Raw genomic sequence first — 12,060 nt, forward strand, 5'->3', positions numbered from 1 at the left:
GGTGCGATCTCATCTCACTGCAGCCTCCGACTCCAGGGTTCAAGCAATTCTCCTGCCTCAGCTTCCCAAGTAGCTGGGATTACAGCTGCCCGCCAGCATGCCCAGCAAATTTTTGTATTTTTTTTTTAGTAGAGATGAGGTTTCACCATTTTGGCCAGGCTGGTCTCAAACTCCTGACCTCAAGAGATACACCTGCCTCATCCTCCCAAAGTGCTGGGATTACAGGTGTGAGCCACTGCACCTGGCTGATTTTTTCTTTTTTTTTTTTTTTAATACAAAGTCTCACTCTGTCCACCAGGCTGGAGTGCAGTGGCGTGTTCTCAGCTCACTGCAGCCTCAACTTCCCAGGCTCACGTGATTCTCCCACCTCGACCTCCCAAGTAGCTGGGACTACAGGTGCTTGCCACAGCACCTGGCTAATGATTACATTTTTGGTAGAGATGGGGTCTCAGACTCCTGGCTTCAAGCATTCCTCCTGCCTCTGTTGGGAGCAATTTATCCATTCTTTGTAAAGGGCCTCCATGTCATTTACAATAACCTATCATCAAGGACCCAAAGCTGGTGCTTATATGAGTCTCCTGTCGCCTCTTATCAGAGCCCGATTAAGGGACAGGCTAGACAGAAAGATGAGAGAAGGACAAATGTCAGGCTCTCACTTCAGCCTCTCTCCTCATTCAGGAACAGATGGAGCCCATGCCAGTGTGACCCAGGGCAGAGGTCAGGCAGCTGTTCTGTTTCGTGTGTCCCTGGTCTCCTGTGCCCCCTAGGGCTGGTGGAGCCTCAATGTCCTCCAACTCAGACATCTTCTCTGCTGTTTGTTCTGCAGCCAGCTGCATACCGCCTCCATGCGGGTGCCCCTCCCTAGCGGCTGCATTTGCCCGGGGGACCAGCAAGCTGTCACATGCCAAGGCAAAGAGGAGGAAGAAACAATCACTTATTACTAGCAAAACATTACTTCTGTCTTCACAGGACCATGACACCTTCTGTCTAGGATCTTCAAACCTCCCCCACTCATGCCCCAAGTCCAATATTGTGGGGTGACCCTGCCCCACCCCCTGTGCACCACACTCAGTGCAGCTTGATGTTCAGCTTTGTGTAGCCCTGGCATCCTATGCTCCCAGGCTGGCTGGAGACTTGATATTCTCCAACTCAGACATACTAAGGCCACGTATATGTGGAGAGATTTCAGTGCATTATCTACTGAGAACACTGATGACTTGAGGCAACGCCAGAGCCCTTCTCCAAATGAATACTTCACATTCCCACCCGGTGACTCAGGCTGACTCACCAGGAGGCCCTTCCCCTTTGTCTTTTTTTTTTTTTTTTTTTTTTTTTACTTTTATTTTAGGTTCAAGGGTACAAGTGCAGGTTTGCGACATAGGTAAAATCCTTGTCATGGGGGTTTGTTATACAGATTATTTCATCGCCCATGTGTTGAGCCTAGTACCCGTTAGTTATTTTTCCTGATCCTCTCCCTCCTCCCAGCCCCCACCCTCCGGTAGGCCCCAGTGTCTGTTGTTCCCCTCTATGTGTCCATGTGTTCCCGTCATTTAGCTCCCACTTACATATGAAAACATGGTTTTTGGGTTTCTGTTTCTGTGTTAGTTCGCTAAGGATAATGGCTTTCAGCTCCATCCATGTTCCTGCAAAGGACATGGTCACACTCTTTTTTATGGCTGCATAATATTCCATGATGTATATGGACTGCATTTTCTTTATTCAGTCTACCATTGATGATGCCCTCCTCATTTGACTGGGATCCAGCAGGAGACTAAAAAGGGGCTTCCTGTTTGATTTACACCCTTTTGCATTCTTTTCACCTCCAATCACCAAGGAGTGAACAGCAAAAAATGTCTGAGCAGCTATTAAGTCTCCAACCAGCAGGGGAGCACAGGAGGCCAGGGATACATGAAACTAAACATCAGGCTGCACCAGGTGTGGTGCCCCGGGGTGGGGTGGAGTATGTTCCTTAATTTCTGCCTACTTTCCCAACAGCCTTCTGGCTCCATGTTGGCTTAAAGGCCCTCTCAGAATCTGACCCTTCTCTTCAGTCCTCAATTTTGTTGCCTCTCCTATTCCTACTTCCCTTCCTTTTCTCAAATCCACAGACATCTCTGGTAATCATAGTAGTCAACACCTTACAACACTTACTATGTGTCTGGCATTCTTTCAAGGGTTTTGTGTGTATTAACACATTGAATGTTCATACTCACCCTTGGAGGTCACTCACTATCATACTCTCCATATTAAAATTGACAAAGATGTGTTCAGAGTCTTGCCCGAGTCCACCCAGCCTCTTACTCTCAACGAGACAACAGAAGAGCTTCCTTGTTCAAATAAACAACTAACATTGATCATAGAAGTGAAAGACCTACCTAATAACTTATCATGGTTCTTCTTCTTCTTTTTTTTTTTAAGAGAAGAGGTCTCACTCTGTTGCCTAGGCTGGAGTGGAGTGGTGCAATCACAGCTCACCACAGCCTCTAACTCCTGGCTTCAAGCAATCCTCCCGCCTCAGCCTCCCAAGTAGCTGGGATTACAGGCACGTGCCTCCACACCCAACACTTGTAATGATTCTAATCTGCTACTCAGAGGTTTGGTCTCTGTGTAAGTCATTTTGAATTTTTGTTGAGAGCCAGGTAAAGTGAAAAGTGTGCATGGGCTTTGAAGTTAAAATCCCTGTTAAACCACTTGCTAGTTATGTGTCCATGGACAAGTTATTTGGCCACTCTGAGCTTCCATGTTTTTGGTAGATTTGGTTTGGTTTGGTTGTTGTTGTTTTGTTTTGCTTTGAGACAGGGTCTCTCTGTCACCTTGTCTGGAGTGCAGTGGTGTGATTTTGGCTCACTGCGACCTCTACCTCTGGGGCTCAAGCGATCCTCCCACTACAGCCTCCTGAGTGGCTGGGACTACAGGCGTGTGTCATCACACCTGGCTAATAGAAACAGGTTCCACCATGTTGCCCAAGCTAGTCTCGAACTCCTGGGCTCAAGCAATCTATCTGCCTCAGCCTTTCAAAGTGCTGGGATTACAGGCATGAGCCATCATCCCCGCCGAACTTCCATGTTTTTATTTTATTTATTTATTTTTATTTAATTATTATGTTTTTTTTTTTTTTTGAGATGGAGTTTCACTCTTGTTGCCCAGGCTGGAGTGCAGTGGCGCCATCTCAGCTTACTGCAACCTCCGCCTTCCGGGTTCAAGCAATTCTCCTGCCTCAGCCTCCCGAGTAGCTGGGATTACAGATGCCCGCCACCACACCCGGCTAATTTTTTGTATTTTTAGTAGAGATGGGGTTTCACCATGTTGGCCAGTCATGATCTCGAACTCCTGGCCTCAAGTAATCTGCCTGCCTCGGCCTCCCAAAGTGCTGGGGTTACAGGCATGAGCCACCGCGCCTGGCTGCTTCCATGTTTTTAATCTGTACAATGGGGATAAGATGATAATACCTTCCTCACTCAGGTATTGTAACTTAAAAAGATACTGTGCATGAAGCACTTAGTGCAGTACCTGGCACATAGAAGACGCTCAGTAAATGAGAGTTTTTTCCATACATTCCCCAGAAAACCTCATATAATTGCTTTATCCTTTAAATAGACAGCACACTGTGCCTCCCAAATGCTACTAATCATATACTCTACTTTTTAGGTCATTTATACTCATGGTTTATCTGCCCCCTGACATACTCCCAAAAAGCAAGAAATATGTTATTCATCTCTGATCTTTTTTTTTTTTTTTTTTTTTTTTTTTTGAGACAGGGTCTCTCTGTTGCCCAGGCTGAAATGCAGTGGTACGACCTTGGCTCATTGCAACTTCTGCCTCCCAGGCTCAGGCGATCTTCCCACCTCATCCTCCCAAGTAGCTGGGACTACAAGCATGCACCGCCACGCCTGGCTAATTTTTGTAAATTTTATAGAGATGGAGTTTCGCCATGTCATCCAGGCTGATCTCAAACTCCTAGACTCAAGCAATCCACCTGCTTAGGCCCTCCCAGAGTCCTGGGATTATAGGCATGAGCCATTGCGCCCAGCCCCTCTGATCCTTTAGGGACTCCCAAGATATAATAGTCAATGAAAAGCTAAAACAGCAAGGTAAAAAAAAATAGATATAGAGAAATACCATTTATTTGTGTTTTAAATAAAACACACATATATGCACTTATATATGCATTCAAAATTTTTGGAAGAATAAACAAGAGATTTTTTTTTTACCATGTCAGGTCTTAATTTTACAATTAAAAAGAAGGAAAAAGAATGTTATATGCATGATAATATGTAAATGTTTAGATCAGTCACCTGAAAAGGTAGCCCAAAATATTTTACCTTTTGGAGATTCTGAGAATCTGGGAATTCTGAGATTCTGAATGGAGAATCTCTGCATCTCAATTCTGAAATTCTGAGAATCTTCACATCTAATCCAGCTGATCAGGGCACAGAAAGCATGGCTGGATGTGACTCCAACCAGGAGCTGCAGCCTAGACCACTGGAATGAGCCCTGTTTGAAGAAAGAGTGTTTTTAGCAGAAGGATACTCAGAAAAATGGGAGCTCCAAAGAGCTTGAGATGAAACCATAAGGATACTGGTTTCTGGAGAGCTGGATTCCATTTGCAGGGAAGGAGCAATTCACCAGATTTACCATCATCCCAATGGAACATTATTTATGACTATCCAAATCCCTTTGCTCTAATTCCATGCTGACCACATATGTGACTTAGGGTGAGTTATGCTAGATGTTATAATAGATAACTCTGAAATGCACTGGCTTAAAGCCATAAAAGTTTATGTCTCTGTCACATCACATGCCAATGAGAATTGGGCCAGGAGTAGTCTGTACTCCACAAAGGCATTCAGGGACCGAGGACCATTTAATACCGTGGCACCACCCTCCCCAGGCTCCTTGAAGTACCGTTCATTGAGCAGATGGACGGGGGGATGAGCAATGGTAGAGAAAGCACACCCACCCCTAAGACTCTTGGCCCAGAGGTAACACACATCACTTTGGCTCATATTCCAGTGGAGAGAACTCCTCATATGGCCCCATCTAGATGACAGTAGGGAGCAAGGGGCAGGCAATATTGTCTAGCAGTACGCCAAGGAAGAGGACGACGACATGAACATGGGTGAGTATCAACAGTTACTCTCGCACCAAGTAATATTCTAATTATTATTTATTATTTATTTAACTTTTTTAGAGGCAGAGTCTTGCTCTGTCATCCAGGCTGGAGTGCAGTGATGCAATCATAGCTCACTGCAACCTCGAACTCCTGGGCTCAAACGATCTTCCCTCCTCAGCCTCCTGAGTGGCCAGAACCGCAGGCACACACCACCACACCTGGCTAATTTTTTTAATTTTTGTGGAAATGGGGCCTTGCTATGTAGTCCAGATTGGTCTCGAATTCCTGGGCTCCAGAGATTCTTCCGCCTCAGCCTCCCAATGTGTGGGGATTACAGGTGTGAGCCACTGCACTTAGTTTTTGATTATTGATTTAGGCTGACTAGTATACTAAATCTAGAAAGAGGGAGACACGAACAAGATATGTGAGCATCCCCATCACTACAGAGCTAGGTCTCCTATCCTAAACTGACAAATCATCTTTCTAGTTCATACATCTCTTGGTTGCGACTTTACTTTTATCACAGGTTATCCCTGAAGAACATATTCAACACTGGGTATGCTAATACGGTAAAGGTTTCTTATTTTGTAAACCTGGGAACAGAACTGTGGGCCATGCTGACCTCAACACGACACTGCAAACCTATGAGGTCCTTTCTAACTGGCCAGATAGTCAACCTCTAAAATATCTCCACCTCTTCTCTCTAAAACTTCAGCCAGGCCAGTCTCAGTGGCTAACACATGTAATCCTAGCACTTTGGGAGGCCAAGGTGGGTGGATCACCTGAGGTCAGGAGTTTGAGACCAGCCCGGCCAACATGGTAAAACCCTGCCTCTACTAAAAATACAAAAATTAGTCAGGTGTGATGGCTAACGCCTGTAATCCAAGCTACTCAGGAGGCTGAGGCAGGAGAATCGCTTGAAGCCAGGAGGCGAAGGTTGCAGTGAACTGAGATTGCACCATTGCACTCCAGCCTGGACGACAAGAGTGAAACTACATATCAATAAAATAAATAAATAAAAATAAAAAATAAAACTTCAGCCATTGGAAGAACTGTCATGTTCTACTTATGGAAAAGTATAATTTGGGGTTTACCTAGACAGGGAAATAATTTTTCAAATTTAAGTTACTTGTGGCCGGGTGCGGTGGCTCACGCCTGTAATCCCAGCACTTTGGGAGGCCGAGGCAGGCAGATCACAAGGTCAGGAGATCGAGACAATCCTGGGTAACAAGGTGAAACCCCGTCTCTACTAAAAATACAGAAAATTAGCCAGGTGTGGTAGCGGGCGCCTATAGTCCCAGCTACTCGGGAGGCTGAGGCAGGAGAAAGGCGTGAACCTGGGAGATGGAGTTTGCAGTGAGCCGAGATTGCGCCACTGCACTCCAGCCTGGGTGACAGATTGAGCCTCCATCTCAAAAAAAAAAAAAAGTTACTTGTTAGTGGCCAGGCACAGTGATGCACACCTGTAACCCTAGCACTTTGGGAGGCTGAGGCATAAGAATGGCTTGAGCCCAGGAGTTCAAGACCAGTCTGAGCAACATAGCAAGACCTTGTCTCTACAAAAAATTTAAAAATTTGCCAGGCATGGTGGAACATGCCTGTAGTCCCAGCTACTAGGGAGGCTAAGGTGGGAGGATCACTTGAGCCCAGGAGGTTGAGGCTACAGTGAGCTATGATCATGCCTCTGCACTCCAGCCCTGGTAGACAGAGCAAGTCCCTGTCTCAAAATAATAAACAAATAAATAAACAGGCTGGGCGCAGTGACTCATGCCTCTAATCCCAGTACTTTGGGAGGCCAAGGCAGGTGGTTCACTTGAGGTCAGGAGTTTAAGACCAGCCTGACCAACATGATGAAACCACATCTCTAATAAAAACACAAAAATTAGCCAGGTGTGATGGTGTGTGCCTATAATCCCAGCTACTTGGGAGGCTGGGGCAGGGGAATCTCTTGAACCAGGGAGGTGGAGGTTGTAGTGAGCTGAGGCGACAGAGCAAGACTCTGTCTCAAATAATAATAATAATTAACAAACAAATAAATGACTTGTTAGTGATCAAGGATCAGACAGAGGGTGAGGTCTTTACATGGGCTGAGTACATTTCTTTCGTTTGGCTGCCATGGCAAATTACCACAAACTTGGTGCTTAAAACATCAGAAATGTGTTCCCTTACAGTTCTGGAGGCCAGAAATCTGAAAACAAGGTGCCAGCAAAGCCGTGCTCCCTCCAGAACCTCTAGAGGAGTAGCCTGGCTTGCCTCTTCCAGCTTCTAGTGGTCCCAGGCACTCCTTGGCATGAGGCTGCATCACTCCAGTCTCTGCCCCCATCTTCATGTGGCCTTCTCGCTTGTGTCTCTCTGTATTCCCCTTTGCTGCCTCATATAGAAACTCATCATTGGTTTTAGGGTCCACCGTAACCCAGGATGATCTCATCTTGAGATTCTTACCTTAATTATATCTGTGAAGACCATTATTCCAACTAAGGTCACATTCAGAGGTTCCAGGTAGACATATCTTTGGGAAGCAGGAGGGACTATACAATCTACTATACCAAGTAGAAAAGCTTCCTGCTCAAGCTCGTGTCGCATTCAGACAGGCCCTTAGCAAATGCTGACTGTGTAACCCTGGGTGCCCAGCTTCAATGGTGCCACATGGGGCCGATGTTAGGAGCAGTAGCTAAGGTTTGCAAGCAGTCCTGCCAGAACACAGGGCACACTGAGGATCAGAAGCGCTTTTCTTAGCTGGATGTAGTGACTCACACCTGTCATCCCAGTGCTTTGGGAGGCCAAGGTGGGAGGACAACTTGAGGCCAAGAATTCAAGACAAGAAGTCAAGACAAGTCAAGATAAGACTGGGCAACATAGTGAGACCCTGTCTCAAAAAAAAGAAGAAAGTGAGAAAGAAAGAAAGAAGGAAAGAAAGAAAGAAAGAAAGAAAGAAAGAAGGAGAGAGAGGGAGAAAGAAAGAGAGAGAGAAAAAGAAAGAAAGAAAGAAAGAAAGAAAGAAAGAAAGAAAGAAAGAAAGAAAGAAAGAAAGAAAGAAAGAAGTGAGGGAGGGAGGGAGGGAAGGAGGGAGGGGGAGAGAAAGAAAGAAAGAAAAAAGAGAGAGAATGAGAAAGAAAGAGAGAGAAAGAAAGGTGGGAGGGAGGGAGAGAGAGAGAGGGAGAAAGGAAGAAAGAAAAGAATGAAAGAAAGAAAGAGAAAGAAAGAGAGAGAGAAAGAAAAGAAAAGAGAAAAGAAAAGAAAAAGTTAGCCAGGCATAGTGATAAGCATAGTTCTAGCTACCCAGGAGGATTGCTTGAGCCCCAGGAGTTCAAGGCTGCAGTGAGCTGTTATCACGCCACTGCACTCCAGCCTGGGCAACATAGCAAGACCTTGTCTTTAAAAAAAGAAGGAAGAAAGAAGTGCTTTTCTTTACATTCTAAATACTAAAATTATTTTTCAATCTCTCAAACCTAAAAGGCTACCCTGAGCTTCTTATACTTTGCTATGGTGTCAAATCCCAGCAGCTTATGTGGCGACCAACCGTTTGGTAACTGAGAGCTTCCATGTTCACTTAGGGCAGGAGACTCTGACACTGAGGCTTTGAAAGGAACGAGAGAGGGAGTCCTGCATCAGATTGCACTCAGGAATCCTGGTTGGTAAGGAAAACAGTGCAATGGCCAGGCAGGTAGCTATGAGGACAAGAGGACAGCCTCAATAAATTGGATGGCAATCCATGAGCTGAGATTTCGGGGTCTCTTGATGCAAGCTGAAAGGTCCCCTGTTACCTATTCAGACATTGTACGATCAGCCTATGCAATGCAGTTTTCCACATCTGAATGTTCTTCTTGTCCTATTTTGCTGTTATCACACCACCAAGAATAAAGAAACGGCCAGAAACCTACCTGGTACTCACAATTATTCGAAGTAGGAAGGAAGAAGGCAAACAGAATAAGCTTAATGGAATGTGGCACTTCTAATTGGATCGTATTGTGTTTTTGTGCCCGCCTTTACCATGTAAGTCTAGACACTGTGATATATACGCAGAGAGGAAAAGAGCAACATCGATCTCAACAGCCAATGAATTCATGCCTTTCTCCCCACTCCCTGTCACTAAAGCTTTTGCATTCCTAAATTTATCGAACTTCCTCCAGCCTAAAGAAAAGTTTTTCTGGCCGGGCGCAGTGGCTCATGCCTGTAATCCCAGCACTTTGGGAGGCCGAGGCGGGCGGACCACCTGAGGTCGGGAGTTAGGGACCAGCCTGACCAACATGGAGAAACCCCGTCTCTACTAAAAACACAAAATTAGCCAGGCATGGTGGCGCATGCCTGTAATCCCAGCTACTCAGGAGGCTGAGGCAGGCGAATTGCTTGAGCCTGGGAAGCGGAGGTTGCAGTGAGCCAAGATCGTGCTATTGTACTCCAGCCTGGGCAAGAAGAGCGAAACTCTGTCTCAAAAAAAAGAAAAGAAGTTTTTGTAACCATTCTTAGAGAGCGCTTTCTACCTAAGAACCTTAATACTTACCACACAGAGCACATCATTTCATTCTCATGTCATTCTAAAAGCAGAGCAAGTTATGATCAACCCTATTTGTCAGATAGAAAAATGATGGCATGCATTGGGGCTGGAGGGGGAGGGGGCATGGAAATACCAGCCTATAGAGGACTTAAGTGACCTGCCCATACAACATGGTCAGAAACAGAAACAGAGCTCACAACCTGTTCTCTAGGCCAAACTAAAATGCTTGCTAAAAGATCTGACACACACACCAAAGTAAGTTAAAAGATACCACAACAAAGAAATCAGACAAATCCAGGGTGTATTCATTTGTTAGGACAAATGAACTGGTTTTACCAACAAATCAATAGAAGTAGGGAATGGGGGACCAGCACTGACATAGAAAAAAAAGACACTTAAGAGACCTAAAAATCAAACACAATCTAGGAAACTTGTTTGGATACTAATTTTTTAAAAAAGTGTAAAAATACATTTAAGCCAGGCACAGTGGCACATGCCAGTAGTCCCAGCTACTTGGGAGGCCTTGCAAGGCAGGAGGATTGCTTGGGCCCAGGTGTTCAAGGCTGCAGTGAGCTATGATTGCACCTGTGAGTAGCCACTGCACTCCAATCTGGGCAACACAGCGAGCTCCTGTCTCTAAAAAATAATAATATATTTTAGGTTTGGGAGGCCGAGGCAGGCAGATCACAGGGTCAGGAGATCGAGACCATCCTGGCCAACATGGTGAAACCCTCGTCTCTACTAAAAATACAAAAATTAGCTGGGCATGGTGGCACGTGTCTGTAATCCCAGCTACTCAGGAGGCTGAGGCAGGGAGAATTGCTAGAACCCAGGAGGCAGAGGTTGCAGTGAGCCAAGATCGTGCCACTGCACTCCAGCCTGGGCAGCAGAGTGAGACTCCATCTCAAAATAATAATAATAATATATTTTAGGAATAATCAGAAAAATGTTCCCACTGTGGAGGAGAACAAAGTTGTCTCCTGGGGGGAGTAAAATGAGGAATCACAAAGAGGAAAGAAAGAGGTAAGAGCAGTTTGCAGTCAGGAGAGTGATGTAACTGAAGTGGTAAAATGCAGTCTTGGCCAGGTGCGGTGGCTCACGTTTATAATCCCAGCACTTTGGGAGGCCGAGGTGGGTGGATCACCTGAGGTCAGGAGTTCAAGACCAGCCTGGCCAAAAAGGCAAAACCCCGTCTCTACTAAAAATACAAAAAATTATCTGGGCATGGTGGCACGTGCCTGTAATCCCAGCTACTTGGGAGGCTGAGGCAGGAGAATTGCCTGAACTGGGGAAGTGGAGGTTGCAGTGAGCAGAGATCACACCATTGCACTCCAACCTGAGTGACAGAGCAAGTCTCCGTCAAAACAAAACAAAACAAAACAAAACAAAAATATATGCATTCTTCGTCATGGTGGTGTGGCTCCCTCAGCCTAGCACGTCTACCTTGCCTCCCTTGCTCAGGCCCTTGTCCCAAGGGCAGCCTATTCAGACTTTACAGTGTGTATTAAATGTCCCTGGGTGGAGAAGGCATAGAGTCAGTAAAGAGCTGGGATTTTTTTTTTTTTAAAGGCTCAAGTGACCCTCCCACCTCAGACTCCTGAGTAGCTGGGACTAAATGTGTGCACCACCATGCCTGGCTGGTTTTTTTGTTTGTTTGATTTTGTTTTTTTTTTTAAGTTTTTGTAGAGATGGGGTCTCACTATGTTGCCCAAGCTGGTCTTGAAATCCCGGTCTCAAATGATCTTCCCACCTCAGCCTCTCAAAGTCTGGGGATTACAAGTCTGAGTCAGCACACCCAGTCAAGGTCTGGGTTTCGCGACAACCACAGAGACATCATCTCTATGGTGCTATAGGGAGGAGTCACTGGGGTGCATAGCCAGAGGCGGCTACTTTCATTCATCCTCAAAAATAATACTCTAGCTGCTAGTGAGAGGGGAATAAAGAGAGGGCAAAGCCTGGAAGTCAGAGGTTAGAGGCTGACAACGTTGCAGGCATTTTTCCTGGTCAAAAGAAAGGAGAAAAAAAGTAGGTTTACAGGTGGATACCAAAGCCAATATTGGATGAACAGTACCAAAGGAAGCAAGAGAAGGAGGGAGTGCCTACGCTACCTTAAGGTGCTGGACTTGCACGATTATGTGCTCCAGGCAATGGTATATACATGTAGTGCTTTAGCCTCTGTCTGGGTGAGGAAATGATAGCTGCTGTAACAAAGAGACCCAAAAATTCAATGGCTCAAACAAGATAAGTTTATGTCTTACTCATCTAACAGTCCAGTTTAAGAATTCCAGGTGGGTTTGTCCCCAGTCCAGGGTGGCAGATGGCAGTCCTTCCACACATGACTTCCAAGGATGTCCAAATTGTGGCCAAGCCAGACTTCGAGGATAGGGGCAAGAGGTGAGTTCAGGGCTAGAGACTTTCTCTTAATCAAGTAAATGGGAAGTTGCTCCCAACA

General features: G+C 45.7%; 1 long non-coding RNA gene across 1 annotated transcript in view, besides 1 other annotated feature; it reads right to left on the reverse strand.

The window, feature by feature from the left end:
* Positions 787-1,338: an enhancer, noted in NCBI's record as "NANOG-H3K27ac-H3K4me1 hESC enhancer chr10:21625535-21626086 (GRCh37/hg19 assembly coordinates)". NCBI's record gives its function as "activates a minimal SCP1, AML or CMV promoter by ChIP-STARR-seq in naive H9 embryonic stem cells {active_cell/tissue: H9 hESC(naive)}" and the evidence as "EXISTENCE:reporter gene assay evidence [ECO:0000049][PMID:30033119]".
* The window catches only part of LINC02643 (long intergenic non-protein coding RNA 2643), a 32,718-nt gene continuing 25,071 nt past the window's right edge, over positions 4,414-12,060 (reverse strand). The window contains exon 5 of the long non-coding RNA NR_155751.1: positions 4,414-4,494. This is a non-coding gene — a long non-coding RNA (long intergenic non-protein coding RNA 2643). The remainder of the gene's footprint in view (positions 4,495-12,060) is intronic.

Source organism: Homo sapiens, chromosome 10 (genome assembly GCF_000001405.40).
Source record: "Homo sapiens chromosome 10, GRCh38.p14 Primary Assembly".
NCBI classification, from domain to species: domain Eukaryota; kingdom Metazoa; phylum Chordata; class Mammalia; order Primates; family Hominidae; genus Homo; species Homo sapiens.